At 37.3% G+C, this 27358-nt stretch overlaps 1 protein-coding gene and 1 long non-coding RNA gene across 33 annotated transcripts in view; one reads left to right on the plus strand and one right to left on the minus strand.

Annotated features, from left to right (window-relative positions):
* Window positions 1–27358, minus strand: part of LOC124901750 (uncharacterized) — a 224798-nt gene that overhangs the window by 195577 nt on the left and 1863 nt on the right. For all 4 annotated transcript variants that reach the window (XR_007060537.1, XR_007060538.1, XR_007060536.1 and 1 more), the window contains exon 1: window positions 1–27358. This exon is cut by the window's right edge and continues 1863 nt beyond it. This is a non-coding gene — a long non-coding RNA (uncharacterized LOC124901750).
* CALD1 (caldesmon 1) overlaps window positions 1–27358 on the plus strand; it is a 259231-nt gene that overhangs the window by 103165 nt on the left and 128708 nt on the right. The window contains exon 2 of one of the 29 annotated variants that reach the window (NM_001438782.1): window positions 7322–7398. The exons of the other annotated variants lie outside the window; for them this stretch is intronic. The gene's annotated coding sequence lies outside the window, so the exon portion shown is untranslated. The remainder of the gene's footprint in view (window positions 1–7321; window positions 7399–27358) is intronic. 29 annotated transcript variants of the gene reach the window in all.

Genomic DNA, 27358 nt, shown 5'->3' on the forward strand with positions numbered 1-27358 from the left:
CTTGTTTAATGCTTCAGTGCAGCTGGTCCACAAGTGTTTGCTGTATCCAGAAGAAGGTCAGATAAAGAGTGAAGGCACACCCCTGTTGGAAAAGAAGCAACAGTCTCTCTATGATTGTTGATTCACTGTTTGCCTGTTGACTCCTGGAATTAACACTCAACAGAGTCAAGAAACCTGGGTATTGGTCTTGACTGAGTGTCCTTGGATAAATGCCTCCCCCAGTTTGAATTTGAATTTCTTCTCTGTAAAATAAGGGAGCTGGATCACGTGACATCTAGGTTCCTTTCAAGCCCTGAATCTGAGTCTTTAACTGTGGCTTCCTAGATTTTGGGATTGGCCTACATTGGCCCCTGCTTCCTACCCTTTATTCTCAGTTTTGCCGTGGTCTAGCTTTTCATTTCTTATGTCAGGAGCATGGGCCAGCCACAGTACTTTTGACTAGGTTGCTTGCTGTCCCTTAGGTGACTGTGTCCTCATCATGTCCGGACAAGTGATGCCAAGGATTGCTGCAACTCTAGCTGGCCTTTGGGGATGAAGTGGGTTAGAACCCAACACACACTAATATGGTTGGAATTTAGGCTGTGCATATTGTCTGAGAAGCAACTATCAAATTGCTTGTATGTCTGTGACACAAAGAACAAGAAGAGATGAAAGGAGAACATATACTCCATGTTGTCTCTCCGGCTGGTCCTCAAGTTGTAGAATTTCTGCCTCTTTTTTCCCCAGTGCTAGTGGGACTTCCCAGTCCCAGTGCCTCCTGGAGAAGTTTCCCGTCATTGTTCTTGGATAAGGAAAACTCTGCTTGGGGTTTTGGTACATGTCACTCTTGCTTTGTGAATATTTACTAAACATGGTTTTGGCTGTATAGCTCTGATGCACTGTAATGATATCATTCACCTATCTGAAGTCTCACTGTTTAGAGGGGTGACCCTCTAAACCATTTCTCATGTTTTTTAAGGTTGAAGGAATGTTTAGCTGAGCCTATGAGGTCCTATACCAAAATTTTACCTATCTTCTGGAAGCTAGCAAGGCCTAGGATTTTTACTAAACTGAAAAATTCAATGAATTAGTGGAACTGAGAAATTTGGTGTTTAGAGAAAATGAAAATATAGACAGAATACTTACCACCATTTACAAATATACAATATTCTCAAAAGAACCAATTATCAAATAAAACATTTTAAGATATCTATCCTTTGAAAAACAAAGCCTATTAATTTTTTAAAAACTATCCTCGAACTGGCATATATCCCCTTTGTAAAATATCAATTCCTTAAGAATCTTTCTTTCAAAATAGCAATTGTGATAACCAGGGTCATTCACTTGTGAACTTGTCTTGTCTCCTCTTAACTAGATCCAGAACATTTGTTTTGCTCAGTGCTATCCTGCTTTCACTCAGCCTATCTAAAGTTTTACTAATTTAGTTCAGTTGTATAACTTCCCTCCAGGAGTAGTCATCTCCAGCTTTAAAATTTTATTTTTCTGGAATCATGCAAGAGTTTGTTATGCACAAATATGGACTATAGGCTTTAAAAAAGCTAAATTTTATGTCAAATTGGAATTTATCTCAGTGTCTGATTATATAATGTGATGTTGCAAATCAATAGATGTGTCCCTAGCACTGCATCAAGTAAGGATGAGGAACACAGGGGCCATGTCAATCCAAGAGCTTCACAGTTTGTCCATTGGCAGCCATTTATTGAAGGAAATTGCTAGATTCTTGGATTTTCCACTTATTAATTTTCACATGCTGGAAAAGGTGCGAATTTGACTAGTTCCATTTAGTCTGCAATTTAAAAGCTACCCCAAAATATTTGAAAGAGCTTATGACATCATTCTTAGATCATGTGTACATGCTCAGAAACCAAACCTATTCCTGAATAGCCCCTTTCTCTTCAGCCAATTTAAGCAATCAGTAGACTGTTTTGTATATGCAACATTAACTCATTTGGAAGATTTATGCTTATGCTGTTGCTCTGACTGAGCTGGTCAGAGGATTTTAGAAGTTTCCAGGCGAATGGGTAAAATGTAGGGAGTAAGCACACTTTGAAGTGAACTGTGCCATCATAGGATCAATGTATTCAAATAGACACTGGAGAAGACATTTCCACTGTTTCCCATACTAGTTACATTTCATTGACAATCCCATGGCTTCAATAGGTGAGACTCTACTGTGTCAGAAGGTAGAACAATGAGCTTCAGTCTTCTTGAACTTCTCTTGTGAAACCTGTTTCCTTCCTGGCTTTATTAAAAAATTATGTCTTCTGTTTTTGGAAAAGTAGCTGTCAGAGGATTAGAGACAATTCATTGAATTGGATTACTTGTTGTCACAAATATTATAATAGTATTGTAGAGCACAGACCAACGGAGAGCTGTTCCCATTTGCTAGGATGTTGTTACTGCTTCGGTTTTATTTTTATTTAAATTTTTTATCTCTGCTATTCTCCTTTATGGTCAAAATTGTAAAGAGTGCATCTTTGGAGGAATGCAAGGTAGGCAAGCTTGCTAAGAGCTTCTACAAGACTACCTTAAAAGAAGACTTATATTTAACAAACAGAATCTCAACATATGGACATACACCCTCTTGAGCTGGTTAGAAAGGACTTTTTTCTTTATTTGCTCTTTTTGACCACTGACATTTATTTTAATTTTTTTCATTTTTAAACATTTTTATTTTGAAATAAAGTAAAAGATTAACAGGAAGTTACAAAATAGTATAGAAAGGTCCCAGGTACCCAGTTTTCCCCAGTAGTAACATCTTGCATAACTACAGTGCAATACCAAAACCCAAGAAATTGACATTCGTGTGATTCACAACGTTATTCAGGTAAGAAGGTCTTTTTAAAACAAGAAATAATTCATTACAACCACGGGGTTCCTCTAAAAACTGTCCCTTTAACTGAAGAACACCTGATTGTTTGTTGTTTATTCAGTACTTCTCCACATTTTGCAGAGGCACACAAAATCATTTTTATAAATCCCAACCTATGAAGGACAGAACAAAGTCATTGTTCTATTTTTCAAAGTATACAAAAGCTAAACGAGAAAAAAATCATCTGGGAAGGCAGAAATCCATTGGTGCAAAGTTTTTAGAAAGCTAAGTGAAGTAGTAATTATCTTACTCATTCCATTATTGAAGACCTCTTCAAAATTTTATTCATTTACAATAAAATTTCAATAAATTCAATTCCATTCTATTACAATAAAATTTCCCCATATATTTCTAAAAAGTCACAGTTTTGTGGCAACAAGATTTAGAATTTTCAAACAATACTTTTTGTCACACTTGCCGTCAGCCCATTTTGTTATAACCTCATCTGTAATAAACCCAAAAGAGTTTACTCTTTTTCTTTATTTCTTGGTTAACTGTTTTTGAGTTTTATATGCACAGATAGCATTCCTTGAAGAAAGAGGCAAGGTATACATACACACAGTTGGGTTGCTATTTTTTTTCTTACAATGTATTTATACTGTTGTCAATTTAAAGACCAAAATATTCTCAGGAAAATACAATATTTTACTTTTTAAGCTTCATATTCTATGAGTAATAAATTTAGTTTTGAGGGATAAGATAGCAAACCATAAATATGGAAGCACTCTCTTAAGGTCAACATTAAATCTGATAATATGTAGAATAGATTTAAGACTATTTCGAAGTTTCAACTAGAGTTTCACCCAGTGTGCTTTCTTCTTAGGTTTTAATGCTGGTTTACAAAAGGAAAAGTAAATTGCTTTCTGGTAACAAATTATTGCAGAAGATCTTCTACTTAAAGCATAGATGCATTTTTATTTTTCATTTACTTCTCTGTTTTTGAAGGGTTCAGTGTTTATTCGGCGGAGGTTTATGTCAATTATTTAATCAGAAGCAGGCCCCAGAGTTTGCCAGTGATATTTTGGAATGTAGGGTCTACTTCAAAGAAAGGTTCCATGTCTCTTGACCCAGATGAAGCCAATTTTTCATAGTGAAGAGCAAGGTAATTCGATTTTCTTTTTCAGAGCAAAAATTATTTTTAGACTGAATTTGATGGGTCATATTTCTCTGCTCAGTAAATCTTGCAATTATCACTCCACACTGGAAAATGTAACTCAATGACCCACCATTGCGCCAGAGCTTCTGTGGGCAGCCGAGCTCCGAGAGGCAGCTGGACATGATGTGAAGTTGGTGTCTATGACATACTGCAAGATGGAAACCAAGCAGTCAACCAGTGGCAGTAGTTCACATGCCAACATTTTTGTTTATTTGTAATGGAAAACTTTAGGAGGAAAACACAGGAGACTGGGTGCCATGGGTGTGAGGTAGAGATTTCAATCCTGTTCAGTCACAGGAAAATCCAAATTGGCCACGCTAAACCAGATCCAAAATCCCAGACTAATTTCCTCTCCTCTTTCCTCTGCGAGTGTTTCTGATTTCACACAAGGCAAGAGCAACTGAGAACAGGGAGCCTGACTAGATGAAGTAAGAACCGTCGTGAGGCCCAGGAGCAAGAAAAAAAGGCCTGGAGTTGTAGAACATGCTAGAACATGAATGACAGTCTCTGCGGAATTAAGAAGCATTCTCCACTCTATTCCATGGCCTCTTGCTGACCTAACTCCTAGTCTTCCTTCACATCTCACCTTAGGATACCACTTCCTAAGGAAAGCTTAACAGACTCAAGTTTGACTTATTACCTTTCTCTGTGCCCTGACAATTCCTGATACCCTCTCCAGAGCAGGGTTATCACACCACATTGTAATATTTAATATTGACATCCCTACTGGACTGCAAGCCTAATAGAACTTGGGCCATACCGCTCAAGTTTACAATTGCATGCTTTTTGCTTAGCACTGTGTCTAGCACACAGGAAATGCTTAATATGTATGCGTTGTTTATGTTATCCATGCCTTAATGTTTGGGATGCTCCAGATGGCTTAATAAAGTGTTTAACTATCTTTACAACCTCAACCCAGTCCAATGTATTGAAATCATCTCTACCAAGCTTTGGGAAATTCAATCAGCATCTAAGAAGCCCTTGTAAAAAACATTTTAGTACCCAATGATGACTATACGTAAACCCTCTAGCTCCTGACCCAGATGTGATGGCACGTGCCTGTGGTCCCAGCTACTTGGGAGGCTGAGGCAGGAGGAATGCTTGAGCCCAGAAGTTCAAAGCTGTAGTGAGCTATGATTGTGCCACTGCACTCCATCCTAGGCAACATAGTGACAATCCCATCTCAAAAACAAAACAAACAAACAAACAAACAAACAAAACCCTGGTTTTAAGAAAACAATGAAGATAGCCATGAAAATACACACTGGCCTATAAATGTATATGCTAAAAGAGAATGGAAACTGAAATAATGGATCTAATGAAAATCAGGCATGGTTTTGAAATTTTGTTAATGTGCTTCTTTTTTCACCCTTCTATTCACTTTAGTTGGATTTTCATGGAAATTCAGATCTAAGAGAGAATTTTGAGTTCATGTCTACACAGATGGTAACCAGAAACTTCTAAGACATATTCTCAGTGTAATTTTCAGCCCATAATGATGAGGGTGGTCTGTCTACATTGTAAGAAGATTAAACTGACAGATCTATGATCTTGTACGTATAGATGGACAATGACCTAAAAGCTATGCTTAAAATTGCCCCTGGAGACATTTTACTCCTGAATCTGTTGGTTTCCATGGTAAAATATTCAGTTGTATGTTGTCAAAAAGGTGAAAAATAAAATCTAGGAGAAATCTGTCATGGGTAGAAGTTGGTGGAACACATTTAATCCACCAGATAAAATGCTTCCGGTCTAAAAGCTGCTGAAAGATACTTGAAAGTCTAGATGTTGGGTGATCTTATCCAGACAGCATTATAAGATATACAAAATATTTGAAGTAACGTCATATTACAAGGAGAAAAATCATTTTCACTGTTCCTGGAAGAAGTCTTTCTGTCTACACTTTACCCACTACAAATGTTGAGATGTTCTGAAGGACTACCTTGCACCTTTAGTAATTAATATCATTTAAAAATTAATCTCTTTTAAAATGAGATTTTCCATAAATGCTAGATGCCCAATTTCAAAGGAAAAATCTATGTGATACTCTGACATATTGGTCAAATATTTTATTCTAGGGGACATGGTGGGTAGCAAGGGGTGGTCGTGGACTGTAGGAAGTGTTGACTTCAAAATATATATTAGCATTTCCATCATTTTAAAAGATTTTTTAAAAGACTAACAATATAACATATGGACAAAGGGATACATTCCTTAGAAAAATTTTAATGGTAACATGAAACCACAGTAAACAGTGAAGGAGAGGGGAGGAGAAAAATGATGCAAACTATTTACTTCCCCTTAGAGGCTAGAATGCAGTTGTTTTCTATTAAACTTAGATTACGTTTATGCGTAACTGACTCAATTATAAAATGAAAGCTAAGCAACTGTTGGAATTTGTGATTACACCATGTAAATGTTACATACCTTGGCAATGTAAAATAATAATATAATTTTTTAAATAGAGAAGAAAGAGACTGTAAGAAAAAAAGTAAGTGTACAAATTTCCCTATGCTTTATAGTAGGGATTCAGATAATGTCTAGTGATAATATCTGTAGTTAAAACAACAACAAGCCCAGTCTTTTAGTTTTTTTCATAATTTTAACTTTTAAAAACCCATATCTCATTGTAAAGAAACATTTATCTTTAGTTCATCAACTTCTATCATTGAAGCTGTTTCTCTTTGTTAAATTATTGTAAGTAATATTTCTAAATATTAGACTACATTTATAAAACTATTTCTACCTATCCATCTATTTTTATAATTTTAGAGATATCCAGAATTTTGTTCACCAAATGTTAACAATTTATTTCTGAGTGCTAGATATAGGTGATTTTTTTTAATGTTCTTTATACTTTTTTGGGGTTAACTTTTTAAAAGAGTCAACGACATTTTTTTTTTTTTTTTGAGACAGAGTCTCGCTCCGTCACCCAGGCTGGAGTGCAATGGCACAATCTTGGCTCACTGCAACCTCTGCCTCCCAGGTTCAAGTGATTCTCCTGCCTCAGCCTCCTGAGTAGCTGGGATTACAGGTGCGCACCACCACACCTGGCTAATTTTTGTATTTTTAGTAGAGATGGGGTTTCACCATGTTGGCCAACCTGGTCTCCGGTTCCTGAACTCGTGATCTGCCCACCTCGGCCTCCCAAAGTGCTAGGATTACAGGCGTGAGCCACTGTGCCCCGCCAAGAGTCAACAACATTTTAATAAAAGAGATAGATGTTTATAGAGAGAGATAGTTGACTCTCTCTCTCTTCATTTCTATCTATGATTTCCTTTTTTCTTTCAAAGGTTTAACAATTAATTCTTTAAAGCATTCGTTCAATTGTGGCACACCGACCTCTCTTGTTGGCCAGAAACTTATAGGGGTAAGTCTCAATAAAACTATTGAGTCTAAAATCACAAAACAGCTGACAACTTTGTGGCACATCACCCAATTCTTGGAGACAGTGCCAACCCTTGGACAGGTCTATATTATCTTGGGCACGAGACTGCTTGCTAAGTTAAGGTTATATATTGAAGAGAAATCAGACATTTTTATTTCTAGAATTTTCTGTTTCATGAGGGACTGCTGGCTATCTTTTATTTGGGCCAATGCCTAGGCCCAAAAGAGGTTTACCAGATGTGTGAGAAAATGTTATTTCTGCTTTATTTGGTGAATGATAATGAGTAAATGGGATGAAGGGAAACTTTCTAGAATTTCTAGAATCATATCTTGTCTGAACAAGATATGAATTGATCAGTTCACTTGTCAAACAAGAAAGACATTTGTATCTATCTACAAATTTTATTCTTCAGTTGAATTCAGAATATAGTGATTTTTCATAAGAAACGACAAAATTTAATAAGTTATGCATTTGTTAAAAAAATACTAACTTGTCTAACATAATCCTGGAATCTCAAACATATTCTGTAGTTGTTTTCTGAGTGAATGCTAACACTCACTGTAAATAAGGCATTGATACTTCCTTGTATAAAAATATTTTAAATTTCTAAAACCTCTCATCTTACCATCTCCTTTTCAAACTTCCTCCCCAAATCTTCAGACAACTTATTCTACTTCATTTGAAGAGAATTAAGTATGGTTTTCATTCATTGCATTTTTCTATTATATTTCTACACTCTATGTTCTATTTGGCGATATAGTTAGTTGCCTCTATCTCCCTGGCTAGATCATGTGTTCCTTGAAAGCAGAAACTATGCTTTAATTTATCCCTGCCTCTCCACTGTAACTAGTTTAGTACTTTACATGTAGAAGCTCTGTACTCAAGTCAACAATGTGGAATTGCCTTAAGATGAAATTGGTGAATAGGTCTGTAGAAAAATGACTTCTCCGTGGGTCACCCTGCCCACCCCACCTGTCCCTCCACATGCCCCCTTAAAATGCAAAATTGCTGGAAGCTTGGGGAAGATGTATGCCTCTATATGTACGTACATATCATCTCAAAAGGAAAATTTCTGTAATTTTCATCTAAAAGATGCCTATGAGAACAAAGCCAAACAAGTAGCTAAGGCCCGAAGCACTGAATGGGATGAATAAAATATCTCGATATTTACATGGTTCATTTTGACCGTACCCACAGGGCAGCAAACATCTGCGTGAAAAGTAAAGAATTCAGCCTGTTAGATGACTGGTTGTGAAGAGCCAAACATTGGGTATCATGTCATCCACATGTCTGGTTGATTGAATATGAATTGCCCCCTTTTTATCCAGATAGCTTCAGCAATAGATAAAGCATGGAGATTTTTCCACATTTTACATGGTGCTTGGTGTTGTAGAATTCAGCCTTTGTGTGTTCTTTTCCCCCCGTCTTGCTATTGCCTGGATCTCATTAGGAACCATTAGTGATGTAATACTAAACCTATGGAATCTTAAACATGCTTTTAAAATCCTGTGGAATAAAGATGTCTCCTACCAAACCAAAAATGCAGTGGGAATAGACAAAGTTACATTTCTTCAAGAAAAAATGACTCATTTCATAGTTCCCAAACTGTTTTGACTGAAGCTTCTCAAAATAAACTTTCTGGAATATGGAGCCTTTGATGTCTGACTTTGAAAAAAATATATCATTTCTCAAACATACAATTCAATCCTTTTGGGGTGTTCATGTATTTCTGCAGATTAACTTACTTTTATTTCAACAAGTGAATGACACAATATTAAATAGCCATCTGACAAAGAAAGAAAAGTATGTTTGAAGTGGTCTTAACTCCTACATAAACCAAATATAAAGAACATGCCATATGATTTTTTAAATTGCCACAAAAATAGAATTTTCAGAACATTACCAGAAGGGGGATTTGGTCCATTAAGAATAACAAAACAGTTTAGATGTCATGAAAGTAGAAGATTAGGAGTGCCATTAAGCTTACTAATGAGATTTTTGATTCATATGCTATTTCCTAGGCTAGGCAACATTTTTAATTTTTCACAGTCTTGAACTTTAATCCTTGAAGGGTAATTCAAGTTTCAGAACTTACATACTGCAATTTGTTTGGGGTGGCAATTTGCCATTGATTTGCCTCTGGGTTCTTTTGTTCTCTTTCAGCTGGGGGACTCAAAGGTGGTCATTTATTAAGTCCAGGTCTACACATGACCGCTGAAACAACTGGTTTTCAATCAAATCTTCTAAATAATCCAACCATTTTTGTGCAGTTGATCAGATTGATTTAAGATATCAATTGCTCTATTCAAACAACAGTGAATGAAATAATTGTATGACTGGACAATCTTTACTTTTCTTTCCTCCTCCTCCTTCTTCTCCTTCTTCTCCTTCTCCTTCTTCTTCTTCTTCCTCTTCTTCTTTAATAAGAGTTTCTCTTTGGAGTGGTGGAAGGATTGGTTAAGATCTGCATTCTAGCTTCAACTCTTCCACCTCTATCTGATGCTTGAAAAGTTTCTCTTAACCTTTCAAGCCTCATTTTTCTTTTCTATAAATGGAGAGAACAAACACTGACCTTGTGCTATGTTTGGGACATTAAATAGATACTGTGGCATTTGATACACAATTGGCCTACAATAAATGTAATTTTTTCCCAGTTCCCCCTCAATTGTACATACGGAGTTTTCTGCTTTTTTTCATTTTCTATTGTGATGATAACTTCTCAACAGAAGGGTTAAAAGAATATTTGACACCCATTATATTACGCTGTTAAAGAATATTAGAACTAGAGATATACGTCACTTGGTCAGATCTGAGCTCCAGGGCCTGATGTCTCTGATGATGGCAAGAAGAGACTGTTGTTGGAATTTGTGTTATTCTCTGAGACTTTAAGAATACTACCTTTCCTTCAGAGGCTTTTAAATATCTATTATGCAGTAACATCTCTAAACTACTCTTGAACCTATGCACATTTTTATCATGGTACCAGCATTGAAAGTAATAGATTCCAAGTGTTTAATACTTATAATGGAAAGAGGTTTTTCTATTATTTGACCTAAAATGATCACTTCAAAGCTTTAAGATTTAGATAAAGTGGGGAGAAAGGGGGATAGGAAAAGGAGCATGGGAAAAGGGGTAAGGTAATTAACATTTATAAGATGATGGCCAAGTTTATTAGAAAACAGATGGAGTCATACATTTGGGTAGACCTGAACTTCACTTCCAGCTCTGTCTCATTCCAGGGCAGAGTTGTTAAGAGAATGTAATGTACCCGCATTAAAATAAATTTGCTTTGTTAACTATAAATTTAAGTTTGGATTTCCTCTTTCCAAGCATTTATTTTTATAAGTGATTAGGGTAATTTAAGGTCTTTAAATTGCTATAAAATATCTAAGCATTAAAGAGGGGTGAGAAAAATTAGCATTTTAAAATTCTCTATATAAGGATAATTTTATACTCTAACTTTTGGATTTATAGATATCTTATGTATATTTTCCCAGAAAAAATGTGAAGATTTCCCTTTTGGTGAAGTCATTTAGAGTTCATTGTTGGTTGGTATAATCTGCAAAATTATATTCAATTATGCAATTAATGTAAAATATTACATCACATAATAACCCAAGGTCATTTTATACTTACAATAAAAAATTGTTTTGACCCTTCCTGTAGATTAACCTCCCAAATGATTTATTGGTCATTAATAGCTCAATTTTTAGACCCAGGGGTCAGAGCTCAGGGCATTGCAACTGAGGGTAGATCCCTGTACAGACTGACCAGAGGAGCCCTGGGTATGCCGGGGAGAAATACATGCACATTTCTCAATGTCTCAGGCTATGTTTTCCTTCAGTTTCACCAACACCATCTTAATTCAGGTTTCAAGAATCTCCAAACTTACCTACACACTCTAGTTTAGCCCTTTCAAGTATCATTCCATCCTGTAAACTGATTTTAAATCTTCCCAAACTACTGTTTATATAAAAAAAACTTAGTCTCAAAATCTCCCCAAACTACTGTTTACTTTAAAAATTTTAAATTAAAGAGGGGTGAACAAAACTAGCATTTTTAAATTCTCTATATAAGGATAATTTTATTATTCTATTGTCTGCTCCAAAGAATAAAGTACAAAACTGATATCCAAGGACCCGGTCAACATTCCTGCTTTCTCCCACCCTCCCAGGCAGGCTTTTGAATGTACTCACCCACGAGCACAGCTGCCCATGACCACAACTGATGTATTTCTGTTCTGCTGATGTTGCTCCTTCGTCATGTTTGAAATATTCTCACACCTCCTTTCTAGTTATCCAAATCTTAACTCTTTAAGTGCCAATCATCTTCCTGAAGCATCTCCTAAGTACTCCAGCCCACCTAATCAACACACACCGGAGCTTTTCTAGTCCATTCTTCAACTTTTTACAGTTTAGGAGACCCAATTTGCAGAGTTTGTGACTTGCCTGAGGTCACAAAGCAAGTTAGTAGTGTCACCATGACTTAAAATTGAGGTCTTTTACCACGAACACTGTTGCCTGAATTCCCTAAACTATCATGATAACAGACATTTTACTGATAATATTGGTTTTGTATTGTTGGTTCATTGTTCCTAAGTATGAAACCTGGATATGCCCAAATTGTTCCTGGATTATTCTTTCATTTCAGATCCAAATAAAATAATTGGGGCCTCCATCTCAATATTTCTGAGAATCCCCAAGAAAGAGATAAGGTGGTGGGATGCCTTATATTTTTGTCACCTCCTGCTCCAAATTCCAGTCACCCATTTACCTCCTCAGTCCAACCTCTACCTGCTTAACTCTGAGCATGGAAAAGTTCTTTTTTTCTTCATTCCCACAAAGCTGCTGCATTTAACAGACTTTGATGAATGGTTTATGGTGATAGAAGGGCATTAAAATGCAGCCCACACTGGATCACAGCTCAAAATTAAATATTTTAATTTGAGAAAAAAATTAACTCTTTAGCTCTTTGCCTTAATTCTCTCCCATGTGATTTTGGAGTGGACAGGGCCATTCAACTTTTACAACCACAAAGCAAGGTCAGGATATTTATGTAAACAAAATACAATAGTTATCTACCCTGGGCTTATGCCCTTAGTAACTCTAAGAAGCAATAGAAGTTTTGACATTAGTTTTTCTTTAACTTGGCCCAGGCTGAAATCTTAGGCAGATCTCCCTATCTCAGTGGACCAGGACAATGTCAGGAGCCAATGGGTATTCATTTGCTACATTCTTAGTTGGGAAAATGAATCCAGCACTATTTTCCAGAATGTAGTAAGATTAGGAAGAGAGTAAAAACAGAAAATGGGCATTTTTTGCCATTTGCTGAGCTTTTTCTCCATACCAGGTTCTATACTGTTATACACGTTACCCCATTTCCCTCTCACAACAACCATGCAAGGTAGGCATTCTCCACTTTTCAATGGAGCAAATAAACAATTTGCCAAAGTCATCCAGTAAGAAAGTGGCACAATCCAGAATTCAAACCCAGATCTGCCTGACTTTAAAAGCCTTTCTGGACTTGGCCAGATGACAACGGCAATGGCCCAGGCACAGGAAAGAGTGAGGACCATATCACATCACATGATATTCCAAATTTATCAGAGTGCTGAGAGTCAGAATAAACAGAAATGTCAGTCAAAGGTGTTATTTGGGGAAGGTGATGGAGGGTCCACGATGGACTGAGGTTCAGATAGAGATGACTTTTTTCATTCATTCTTCTGTTTAAAGCTACCGGATTTAACACAAACTCAGGACCGTCTACAGAATCTGAATTGGATATCCCCAGGTCACTTAGTTTTTATAACCCAACAAGGGCAACATATTCAATAGACTATCACCAAGAGCCTTTCTGAGCAGCTTGTATTTATTCATCTTGCCTGTGACTGGGCAAAGGGGGCAGGTGTCTGGCTTTTGTTACTGCATAGAAATACAACTTTGGTTTCGTTGATGTGAACAGATAAGCACTGCATGTGAACTGAAATCACACTATGTCTAAACAGAGGACTCTGTGGCACTTTTCTTACTAAAAAGTTGTTAAGTTTGGCAATCCTCACTCTGTTCCAGTCAAACATTTTCTTAACCATATTAGGTTATATGGAAATAAGCCAATATCGCGGCTGGTGTATGAGTAGGTCCTCTGCACCAAGGCAGTTTTCTTGAGAGCATTTTCTCACTGGTTTAAAAGCAATAGAGACAAATGTGGCTCAGAGTATATTTTTAAATGTGGCTGGAAAGAAAAATAAAAATTCACTGATCCAAAAAGAATTCGGAATCGCAGCTAGACCAAAGTCAGATTTTTAAGCTGGAAGACTTGGAGAGATTTGGGTATTTGCTTGCTTCTTATTGAAAGACTCAATCAATTTTTTAAAAGCCCAGCCAACCTTAACACAGATATAGGAGAGGAAATCAGAACAAAACTGCATCATCTGTTCCATAATTGTCCAATGTTGTTCTCGTTGCTTAATCTCGTGGGTTAGAAACCCAGCATTTGAGCTCTGGATTCACTACATTCTGAGTAATCCTAGACACTGGGCTTAATTTCATTGTTTGTCAAATGGGGGATGATATACTACCTATATCATAGGATTCTTAGGAAAATCCAATGAGATAATGCATGATTCAACTATTACCAAAAAAGCATATTATAAGCCTTCTGTTTTTCAAACTACAACACTTGGAGAAAAGTAGCAGCAGAGAAAATAGCTTTTAGGTCTGCCCCTGGTTGCTCTGATACAGTTATCTGCTTTTCATTTAGATTTATCATATTCTGCTTTGACAGCTAATAATTATTCATCTATATATTCATTCTTTTATTCAGAATATTGAGCACTTAGCAAGTGCCAAGCTCTTAATTAGGAGCTCTTATTCTCATCTTTGCAAATAGATGATAAATCTATAAAGCTCCCCCCCCATCTTATCATTAGATACTCTTTTGAAATATTTTTATTTCAAGATACATGTTGGCCATTCATTCATTCCATGTATATTTATTGAGTGACTACTAAATGGCAGGCAACTGCAAAGTGCTGAGGAATCATTAGTAAACACAATAAATACATCCTCATGGAGATTTCAGTCTAGTAGAAAAGACAGATATTAAATACATAAGTAACCAAACATAAATATCATTGCAAATTGTGATTGTACATGAAGACAAAGAGCAGAGACTTACAACAGAGAATGACGTGGAAGTAACATCTTAAAACTCTATGTCTAATGCAACAAATTTTAATTTACAATACCTTGGCAATAAATGGATAGGATACGTGAAAACGTTATCATCTGATTGTACTGTAACACAAAAATTGGTGTTTTCAGGGTGTTGCAATTATTTAGTACTATTCCAACTTTGACTTTGTGGGTTTAAGAAAGGTTAAGAATTATCCAAGTAAGAAGTATGCCTTTGTCATTAGGTAATGGTGAGGGACTCATTTCTGGTCTCTGTGGCCAGTAAGCTCTAGATCCATGCAAGAAATTGAAAGCAAGCTTGTGTGACTGGATCACAAAAGAGAGAGGCACAAGAGGAAGCTGGAGAGGCAGGCTGAGCTAGATTATACACGACATTGTAGGCCATGGGAAGAGTTGGATCTGTATTCTAGATGCACTATGAAGCTACTGAAATGTTTTAAGCATGGGAGTGACATGATTAGATTTATGTTTTTAAAAGGGTAATTGTTTGCAGATGGCTGGAAGATAGAACAGAAAGACCAGTTGGGAGGAAGAGTCCAGATGAGATGATGGTGGCTTGGATTTGAGTGACAGCAACAATAATGAAGATAAATGAACCATTTTAGGCAAATATCCTGAAGGGAGAATCACCTGGATTTAGTAATTTACTGTAGAGGGAGTAACGGTAGATGAGGAAGGAGGAAGTGTATGAAATGATTCCCAAGTCCGGAGCTTAAGCAACCAGGTAAATATTGGTGTCATTTGCTAAGATGGGAAAAACTTGGGAAACAAGGACTGTGTTCAATTCTGTCCTGTTTGCTGAGGAAAAAAAAAAGGGGCCAGGGAGTAGTGGTGGAACTTTTTGTGAGTTATAGAGAGGAAACAAAAGTATAAAGCTTAACACCCATCTTCAGAATGCTTGCACCCTAAGCATTAAATCCACTGTTGATATTTCCTTAACAGGCTTTCTCAAACCACCAGAGGCTCTACTATGATGTGTGTTATCTCACTCGTAGAATTTATTCTTTCTTCACCCTTCCTCTGTGTGTGTCCAAATATAATGCAGTTGATTTTAATAATTTAATTTGCTACACCTTTGAATTATCTCATTTATCAAGGCATCAGTCAATCTTAAAAATTAGATCTTTATTTTTTTTTTAATTTTTAAGCTCAGGGCTACATGTGCAGGATGTGCAGGTTTGTTACACAGGTAAATGTGTGTCACGGGGGTTTGTTATACAGATTATTTCATCACCCAGGTATTAAGCCTAGTACCCATTAGTTATTTTTCCTAATCCTCTCTCCCCTCCCACCCTCAACCCTCCAATAGGCCCCAGTGTGTGTTGTTCCCCTCTATGTGTCCATGTGTTCTCATCATTTAACTCCCACTTATAAGTGAGAACAAGCAGTATTTAGTTTTCTGTTCCTGCGTTAGTTTGCTAAGGATAATGGCCACCAACTCCATCCATGTCCCTGAGAAGGATATGATCTCAAACCAGATTTTTAAAGGCAATATATTTTTTTTGGTGCTTCTATAATCTTGGCAGTGAATAATGACAATAGAAGTCTTTACCATTTTGTCTTCCTGTTATTTACTGTAACTCAACTACAAATATTCCAACTTCTCCAGTGGTGTATGTGGAAACAAGAAGAGTTCACAGAAAGAAAATTATGATCAGTTTGATTCCCCTGAGAGCCGCTGATAGAGTACTAAGCTCTACATTACTTAGCAATGCAAAAACAAAGTGGTAGAGATTTAGTGATCAAGATTTATGTACAAGAATGTCCATCACAGCACTACTTATAATAGCCCAAACCTGAAATACTCTCAGTGTCCAGTGATAAGGGAATGATTACATATAACTGTAAAGTTATCATGTTTTAAAAATTGTGTAAAAAATATGTATAATATAATAAGTGAAAAAATTGAGTGCATAACATCACATTTGTTTTTAAAATAGAATCTTACCTTTGTTGAAAAAAAAGACTGGAAGGAAATATATTGAAACTTTAAAGTAATCTCAGGGTGGGAAGGATGAAAAGAGACTTTAGAATTATTTTCTGCATAATTTCTTTCTTTTTTTTTGAGACGGAGTCTTCCTCTGTTGCCCGGGTTGGAGTGCAGTGGCGCGATCTCGGCTCACTGCAACCTCCGCCTCCTAGGTTCAAGAAATTCTCTGCCTCAGCCTCCCGAGTAGCTGGGATTACAGGTGCCCACCACAACGCCTGGCTAATTTTTTTGTATTTTTAGTAGAGATGGGGTTTCACCATCTTGGCCAGGCTGGTCTTGAACTCCTGACCTCGTGATCTGCCCACCTCGGCCTCCCAAAGTGTTGGGATTACAGGCATGAGCCACCGCACCCGGTCTCTGCATAATTTCTGTATTTTCTATAATAAAATGCATATTTGTATACTTTCTATAATAAAATGTATATCTATATAGCACTCAGAGATGGCATAACTTCTAGAGATTTGATGATTTTTGTTAGTGGAAGAGATCCGAGTTATCTGCGAGTTACCGGCGGCGAATCTGTAGGGGTCCACAGCAACTTCAGTCCTTGCCTCCTCAGAAGAAAGAATTCAACTGAGGGGCGTGTAAAGCAGAAAAAGAGATAGAGGCAAGTTTCAGAGCAAGAGTGGAAGTTTATTTTAAAAGGCTTTAGAACAGGAAAGAAAGGCGCGCTTGGAAGACATCCAAGCAGGCACGTGAGTGTTAAAGAGAGAAGGTCGAGTGTCCCGTATAACCGTGATCCTAGGACTTTTATAAGCCCGTCTTTTCCCCATGCGTCTTCCGTAGGGTGGGCATGCGCACAGCCCTTCTTACGCTTGAGAAATGCGCACGCGCAGTGTATTTAGGGAGTTATACACATGCCCATCTGAGGCTTTCTTCCTTCTTCCAGCAGAGAGTACCCAGGAGATCTTACTTCGTCATTTTTGTCTCTTAATATGCATTTCCAGAAAGCTGTTTCTCTCTGGGGTCTGCACTCAGTTAACACTTTTAAATGTTAACAGGTATGGACCATCAGGAGATTGTCTCTTTCTGGCTGCTGTGAATTATCATTTTTAGAGAGGCAAAGGGATAATTGCCAAACCATCACCTGACATTTCTAGTGGGTGGTGGGAGAGCCCTCTCCTGCTCCCTGCTCATGACTGACTACCTGTAACAATTTGGGACCTTTTTCAGTAGAGTGAAATAGAAATAAAAGCAGTCTGGAAAACCAGCAATGAATAATTGTCAAGTGCTGCCTGAGATACTGTGGGGTATAAAGTTGTGTGAAAATGTGATTGCTTATTCATGGATCTTATGATCAAGTTCCCACACTCCTGGATTTCCCTTGTTTGGGTTCAAACAGCCTAAGAACATAATAAGGGCAGTTTTGATTTTCATATCTGAGTTTTTCTTTTAAGCCACATCGGGAAATGAAGGAACACAGACAGACAGCGGGAGAAATACACTCGCAAAACAACCTAAGTATCTGTGCAGCCTCAATATCATTTAAATTCTGGCTAAGTTTAAGGTTTTTCCTTTTTTTGGTTTCTTCCTTCACTCTTCAAGTGTATTCCACATAATGTAGTTGTAGCTCTGCTCAAGGTTCTGGAGTAGCATTTCTATGCAAGCTTAGTTATTTTAAGTTATTCACAGTTATTTGTTTTTTAACCCTTTAAAAGTAATTTGTCACAATCACATCTTTATGTGCCAGATATATAAGAATTATTGTCTTGTCTCTGGACAGTATGTTTTAGAACTTTTCCTTATGAAGCTGCAAGACGTGTTTTACACTTATCAGCTCTATTTAGCCTATAACTGTGTCTGCATAATGCCAGAATTGCCATTTCAACAGAGACCAAGAATTCCCCAACAGTTATTTGGTGGCAACTGCCAAAAATTTTTATTGAATTAATTTATCTTTTTCACTTAATTCAATCCACTTAGCTATGAATGTTGAACCCAGTGAAACTTCTGGTTTTGGGGGGATTTTTTTGGCATATGAATGGAAGCATTGCTGTGTTTAAAAATACTATCCTTTGGAGATAAACATTATGGGATGTTCAATATGAAATATCTTATTAATGTGGAAATGGGTTTCATTAACCCATCTGTATCTGCACGTTATCCTTCATCTGGTTAAAATTCCACATTTTAAAAAAGATAGCAGCTTGGGTTTAAGTTTGTGGCCACGTAAGACTGAAGTTTGATACTGTCCACGTTACCATCAACCAGCTAATGTATTACCAATAAAAACAGCAGTACTATTCTTCAGTGAGATTCTCATTGTCCACCTTGTGTCAGTTTTCAGTGTAGCCCTGGGAAGAAGGGCACTGGAGAATGATGTTTCCATCAAGATTTAGAAGTGGAAAAAATTGAGCTTCTGGAGACCTCACTTATTTATTCACTTAACACACATTTATTGAGAAACTGCTATGTGATCAGAGCTATGCTAGACACTGGGGATACAGAAGTGAATATGACATAAATAATTTAATATTTATTTGCCCACTAGAGTGTTAGCCCTCTGAGAGCAGTGACCTTGTCTTTCTCCATCTCTGCTGTCTCCTTAGCAACTCCCATTTAATAACTGGAAATAGAATCCCAAGCGGGGCCTAACTTTTTGTCTCATGAGATAGGAATAGTAGAAGAGCAAATCTCAAACTTTTCCCCCATATGAGGAATGACATTCACAGAAAAGACCCACTTAGAGGAAGACAAATAGGCCTTTTTCTTCCACGGAAGAAAGATGCCTAGAATCCAGTTGAATGAATATCAAGTTTATATGGATAGCTTTGAATCCTTCCTAATATTTTAAAAAGTAAATCACATGAAACCTCACATTTCTGATGATACGTCAGAGTAGCAACAATACTGTGATCAGAACTCCACATAGAAAGCTGCTGTGGTGGGCCACCATACCTGATGGAAGATCTATTTTGATGTTCAAATGCTTTGAGATTAGGACGGTTGCTTGAAGTATTTATCGCTTGTTACACTTTCTCTGCTGTGTGATTACTGCAAAGACAGGCCAGATTGCAAGGGCCACAAAGGATCAGTTCTTGAGATAATTATATGAAAACTGTTTAGCCCATGATGGCAGTTAGAAATCGAGCAGTGGATTCTTCCAATATCCAAAAACAGATGTAGTGATTGATTTGTCCTAAAATAAAAAATAACCAGCTCCTGCTAAATGGACTTAGTTGTTAACTAATCAAACACAGGCAGAATGGTGTTCTACAAAAAGAACAGATTTGGAGACCCAGCTCCTCCCATCACTAGCTGAGAAGCCTTGGGTAAACCATTTAACCTCTCTAGGCCTTTCTAGGTCTTATTTATAAAATGTTGCCAATAATACTTGTCTTACTGACCTCCAGGGTTTCTATGAAAATCATTTAAGAATAGAGATATGCAAGCCCTGTTTACTGTAAAAGGGCCATGTATTTGTATTCTTAACCCATTTGTGATGTCACTAGGCACTTGGAAATCAGCCCACAAATGGCTGATCTGATTGATGATAGAAGCATAATTGCCCTGTGACCAACCCACTTCATCCCTACCAAACATTCCAGACATTTCAGTGCAGGAACAAGGTCTATGGGAAAAAGTCAAAAGGAGACTGATCAGAGGAATTCCACTGGCCCTTCCCAGGGCCCTGTGCACAAAATGGTCCCCTGTGCATTGTTATTTTGCTGTGTTTGCCGATGTCCACAGCTTCCTAGACATTAACAGATGGATATCTGGGTGATGATGAACAGACAGAGTGAGTGTGATATTTTACCAGTTTTCTAGTGCAAAGGCCTCTGTATCTAATCTATGGGCTTGCAGCCTTCACTAGTTACTCTTTCAGCTGAATGTGCAAAGAGATAAAGTACTGCCTGCCTTTCTTTAAAATGCTGAGGAATGACATCTAGTGAATTTTTTCAAGGCTACACATACTGATGGTTTTGCTTTTGGTTGCAAGGGTAGGACAAGGTGATTCTAGATCCTGACCTGAGCCCTGTGTCCTGCTGCTGCCCAGATTCTCTCTGTCAGTGTTTCATGCTTGGCACCGACTGAGCTCAAGGCTCTGGATTAGGTCTTACTGCACAGCTCTGTGGCAGAGAGGAGAGGTGGGCAATGCCAGTTGGTTGGAACGTGGGAAAGAGGAACAGGATAATTCCACTTAGGGTGTTATTTTGCTTTGTTTTTTGCTTGCTTTAAGCAACTGGCCATAAAGGAAATATATGGCCCTGTCCTTAGGTAGTTAAATTTCAATCAGTAGTCAAAACTAACATTAGAAAAAGTTTTAAGCATACTTTAAACAAACAAGAACATATTATAAATAGGAACATGAAATGAATTTATTACATCAATAAAGTGTGCCTAAATTTTTCAGAGTTGACTTAATTGCACAATAGATAATCCGATCGTGATGACGTGTAGCCTGAACTAGAATTTATTGACTTGAGACACTCTTTCTTTGTGAATATCGAAAATTTCTAAGTACAACCTTTATTGATGAGATTGTCAAAAATTGAGAGTCTAATAGCATTAAAGAGGTTCAATTTGGCCAAACTGGACATTATTAAGTTTATCCTATATGCTGGAGGCTGTGCTAAATTCTACAGATAAAAGATAAATGAGGCTAGGCGAGGTGGCTCACACCTGTAATCCCAGAAATTTGGGAGGCCGAGTCAGGCGGATCACCTGAGTTAGGAGTTCGAGACCAGCCTGGCCAACATGGTGAAACCCCGTCTCTACTAAAAATACAAACATTAGCTAGGTGTGGCGGTGGGTGCCTGTAATCCCAGCTACTCAGGAAGCTGAAGCAGGAGAATCACTTGAACCTGGGAGGCAGAGGTTGCAGTGAGCTGAGATCGCGTCACTGCACTCCGGCCTGGTGACAGAGTGAGACTTCATCTCAAAAAAAAAAAAAAAAAAAAAAAGATAAATGATATGACTCTTACCCTTGCTCAGATGTCCATCCTGTTTCCTCAGCTTTGCCTCCTCAACCATGAGGGTTCTAATCTTCATAGTTGCTTCTGTTTGATAAGTTCTATTTATTTAGGAAGCCATACACAGGAACACAGGCAGAAGAGAACCAGAAGACTGCATCCATTGGAAAATTTAATATACATAAAAATTAAGTGCACCATTTCTTATCACTTGCTGAAACTTAGGTAACTTAACATCATGCCTTACAAACAACAGTCAGTGCTCGTTGATAATGATGACAGTGGTAGTGGCAGTGGTGATGATTACGATGATGAAGGCAAGAGAAACAACTGCCACTACCTTTTCACAAACTTTGGACTTTTTATTATCTACACTAGGTCTTTCGTGATGAGTGGTAGTTATACCCAGCTCAAACTTCAGGTACACTATGACTCTGTGAAGAGAAAGATACATTTTTCTCAGTGTCTCTCATGCCTGTAGCCACGGGAAACTTATCAAACACTGACGTCAGCTACTTTCCCATGAGAAGTTCAGAAATTTCATAAGACCGCAAACGACTTTCTCTTTCCTATTTGCTTCAGACAAGTACAGAACTTTTCATGAAGCTTAAAAATAAACATCTGACCTTCATGGATACATTCTCATTGCTTCTCCAATCAGAAATCATCTTGCCTGTGAAAATCCACCCTCATTCTTCTATTAACAATTGAAACATCTTGGATGATGCAAATAGCATCGCAGATTACTCTTCATTCAATGATTGTCCAAGAGAAAGGAGAAAAGGCTGCAATGATTAGGCACCATTTTAAGATACCAAAGCCCATCTTTTGTACTATCATAGAACAGGATAAGATCTGTTTTTTTTTTTCATAATTTTACCATATGGGCTTCTCTGAGAACATACATGTAAGCTATATCCTTTGCACTCCATAAAATTTTAAGAACTCAGCAAAATTTCCCTGGGTAGCTTGCTAGTCTTGGGACCTGATGGCTTAGAAATAAACTAAGAATTGAGCCATTCTACTTTCTAGATGCAGAATAACAAAGAAGGCAGAGAAAGAAGCTGATAATATTAAACGAGGGTCAATGGCATGCTAAGTTCAATACTAGGTACTTTATATGTTATCTCAATCATCACTCAACAACAGACTTTTTTCTTTCGTTCTCCTTTTTTTTTTTTTCCTGAGATGGAATCTTGCACTGTCGCCCAAGCTGGAGTGCAATGGCATGATCTCGGCTCACTGCAACCTCCATCTCCTGGGTTCATGCGATTCTCCTGCCTCAGCCTCCTGAGTAGCTGGCATCACAGGCGCACACCACCACACTGGCTAATTTTTTTAATTTTTATTTTTAGTAGAGATGAGGTTTCACTGTGCTGGCCAGACTGGTCTCAAATTCCCGACCTTGTGATCTGCCTGCCTCGGCCTCCCAAAGTGCTGGGATTACAGGCGTGAGCCAATGCACCCGGCCAACAACAGACTTTTATGAAGCATATGATATATGCCAGAGAACATGCTAAATGCTTGGTATGGAGTGATTGATAAGACCATGCCCTTACCATTGGGAAGCCCATACTCATGCAATGCTACCATAGAGGCATTAACCAAGTACAATGGAAGAAGAAAAAAACCCTTCAGCGTAGTAATTACTATCCTCATTTTAAAATTGAAGTAGCTGATACCTGTTAGTTATCTTTGTTAAAGAGCTTCTCTTAGGTTATTAAGTGTAGAGTTCTATGTGACCCATAGTCAGTCTTACAATTCCATGCTGTTTTAATGGGAAAGATCTATGTTCAATCCAACTGAATGATTTAAAGCTTTGTCTGCTATCCAATAAATCTGTTTGCTACAGAATGCCACAAAAATTCTGACTTTCACTGAATAATTGACTTTTTCTTTAATTATAAGAAAAATTTCCTTAATTTCCCACTTTAGCCTGTTTGGTAGCTAAATTCCTAACATATTATCATATTAATACATCTTGTCCCTCTTATCTACTCATTTATACAAATATCTGTATACATTTCCATATGCATAATAATTCCTTAATAACACAGAAAACATATCCCATAAAAATCAAGAGATTCTCATACAGACATAAACCTATACACTAAACTACAAGCATACTATAGATGAATTTGTTCAAGATACATAGGGAAAATCTGAAATGGAAACATACAATTTTAAAAAATAAAGAGGAAACATTGTTCAAGGACTTGATGCACAAAAGAGCTACAAGAAATAATTTGGGGAAGGTGGGTGGTTAAAAGTGAGGACAAGAAACAGTGGATACTAAGCAAAGGGCTGGATGGATGGTGAAATTGCATGGCATTCTTAAGATGATAAGTAGTCCCTGTATTTGGATTGCCTTGGTATGGACCACTTGCAAAAACATTCAATATTTCACTTCTAAGATATGGTAAGCCAAAATACATATATGGAAAGTTCACTAAGTCATTGGCAAATAATCCAGTGTTGACTTTTAATTTAGAAATAACTGGCCAAATTGATCCCAGCCTTCCCAACTACAATTCTCCCCCTGCAGAGTACATTGATTTGTATTATCTTATTGTTTTCTCTCACTGTTTGTCTTTCTTTTTATTATTTTATTTTCCTACTGGTACAATGTATGACAAGAGATAGTGAACTTTCCTGATTTTATATATTTTGAGCTCATAAATTCCCTGGAGTTGTCATCTTTCCAGACTAAAGTTTCATCTTTTTCTATTCACATGTTCTAAAAATAATCTTTTTAATGATGTGTAACATATAGAGAAGTGCACAATTTATAATTGTACAGAGTGATGGACTTTCACAGAATGAACGCAACTGAGTAGTCAGCATCCAGATCACAAAACAGAATACTACTTGCATTCAGAAGCACCCTAAATGTCCCTTCAGAGTCATGCCTTCCCCCACCCAGCCACTGCCTCATGATAACCATTATTCTGATTTCTAACATGAAGTATTAATTTTGTCTGGGCTTCGGTTTTTATATTAATGAAATCATATAGTAATTTTTGTTGTGTTGTTTACATTATGATTCTGAGATTGATTGCCTGAGCAAAACTTAGATCATTCTAATTGCTATATAGGGTTTCATTGTTTGCCTCCCACAATTTATCCATTTTGCTGTTGATAGACATTGAGGTTATTTCCTTTTCATGGCTATTATTAATAGTACTGCTATGAACATTCAAGTTCATGTCTTCTGGTGAATATATGCATGGACTTTTGTTGTATATATGCCTGTAAGTAAGATTTCTGGGTCACAGGGTATACAAATATTCAGCTTTAGCACATGCTGCCAAATCTTTTTCCCAAGTGATTTTGCCAATTTATATTCCCATAGCAGTGCATGAGCATTTCAGTTGCTCACCACCATTTTGATTTATGTCTTTTAAATTTTAGCTATTCTAGTGGTATGTAGTTTTAGTTCATCATAAGTTTCAATTTGAATTTTTCTAATGATTAATGAGATTGAGCACTTTTTCATACACTTGTTGATCTTTTTGTCTTTTTGTTTTTGTTTTGAGACAAGGTCTCTCTCTGTCCCCAGGCTGGAGTGCAGTGTCACGATCATGGCTTACTGTGGCCTTGACTTCCCTGGCTCAAGAGATCCTCCCACCTTAGCCCCCCATGTAGCTGAGACTACAGGCATGCACCACCACACCTGGCTGATTTATTTTTTAGTTGTTGGCAATTTTAAATATCCTCTTTTGTGAAATGCCTGTTGAAATCATTACTCATTTCTCTATTAGATCATCCATCTTTTTCTTTTTGATGTGTGGAAATTTTTATATATTCTGGATACAAGTTCTTTGTCATCCATATTGCTAATATTTTCTCAATCTATGGCTAGCATCTCCACTCTTTTTATGGTTTTTAGTTTTAATGCAACACAAGTTTTTTTATTTTTATGTCCCATTTACAAAATCTTTGCCTATCCCAAAATCATGGAGATTTTCTTTTTCCTGAAAGCGCAAATGTGTAAGTTTTCACATTTAGATCCACAATCAATCTGAAAGAATTTGGGGGAATGATGCTAAATAGAGGTCAAGTTTTGATTTTCCTTTTTCCATATAGATATTCATTTAGGTGCGGGATGATGTTACTTTTCTACAGACAGGGGTTGTCTTACCTTCTGGTTGTTTTGATAGAGTTGGGAAAGTTCTCTTCAGTTAAATGGGGCTGAGCTGATCTACAACTCATCTTCCATTTTGCAAGACTCCTTCAACCTCTGGTTTGCTCCTTCTCCGTGGCTGAACTCTCCAAGTGTCCTAATGCCTCCAAATTAATTTTGGTTTTGTGGAATATTATCCAGAGTTTCTAGTTATTCTCAATGAAAGCACTGGACTGCCACAAGCTATTCCATTTAGGCAGATACCTACGTCAGTCTAGCTACATTCCACAAACTCATCAACAATCTCCTCCAAAACATTTAAAGAAAAATGTTGTGTAGAACTCAAAAAGGTAAAAGAAAATGTCAGTGTTGGCAGCTATGGCTGCTCCATGTATCCTGTCATGGAAGGAGCTTTGGAATAAAACAAACCTGGGTTTTAATTCTAACTTGTCATTTATTAACTGTGTGACAATGAATCTTACTTCCAAGTGGGGATAATAAAAAACAACTAGTTTCACAGTTTTCTTGTGAAGATTAAATGAAAGAACAGATATCAAATACCTCGCAAATAGTAGGTATTCAATAAATAATAGATATTATTATGTAATATATTATAATTTCTCTTAGAGTTATAAAATGCACTCATCTCTTAGAAATAATAGAGAAGGAGTCGGGATAGGTGGACTTGAAAAGCAACACTCTTCTCTGAGCACCCTGTTAGATGCTGAAAAGGGGGAACTTGGTTGAACTTGTTTTATTCAAAATGATATCAAGGTCATTCACATACACAATACATTTTTTTCGTGGAAAGATGGTAGAAATAAATCATCTGAATTGAGTACTGTGGCAAATCTATTCCAAATGCTTCATTTTATAGATGAAGAAATTGAGTGGTTAAATGACTCGTACAAGGTCAATTCACTTGTTAGTATTTATTTAAATGACCCAAATTCCCTAAGATCATATATTTCTTTTCTTCTAACATACTCCTAGCTCCCATGTTTAACTATAAATGTAAAGCAGAGACAATTAATAATGTGTTATTATTACTAGCTCATTCTAACTAAAACCCATCGATCTATTTTTAAATATTTTATTTTAATTTCCATCCCCACAAATTATGTGACTTCCTGCCAACTATGATTGAAATAGGTACTTGCCATTCCTTTCCCATTTTAAGGATTATGTCCTGTAGCTTTTCATTTTTCTGTCTGTTATTAAGAAATGATCTGCCTTATCCTCTAATGTATGAAAGGAGCTCGTGCAAGCCTGTAGAACACAGCTCTCTTGAAGTCTACCTAGCAAAAAAGGGAGTGGGGAACCTCCATCCCTCTGGGCACTGGATACAAAGGTGATCATGTGCTTCTTTGGCACTTTCATCTCTGGGCAGGGACAGATCCTCATGCTTTCCAGCAAAGGCAGCCCTGTGGGGATCGTTTTTTGGTAAGACCCTGTGTCCAGCACATCTTTCAGCATTGTGTACTCTACGAACAGACATATGAGCCTGAATCCCACATGGACTGAGTAACTTGGAAGTTTCATGATCCCAGAGCACACAGCCATCTCATAAAAGCCTCACACCAGGCTTCTCAAGGGCTCTGCCTGGAACATGCTTCCTTCAGATCTTTACATGGGGGGGCTTCTTCCTAGAAATGTGTTTTTAGCCTAGATGTCTCCTTTTCAGAGAGACTATCCCTCACCATCCAACCTCCAGGGACCCTCA

The sequence above is a fragment of the Homo sapiens genome, chromosome 7 (assembly GCF_000001405.40).
Source record: "Homo sapiens chromosome 7, GRCh38.p14 Primary Assembly".
In the NCBI taxonomy this organism is placed as follows: Eukaryota; Metazoa; Chordata; class Mammalia; order Primates; family Hominidae; genus Homo; species Homo sapiens.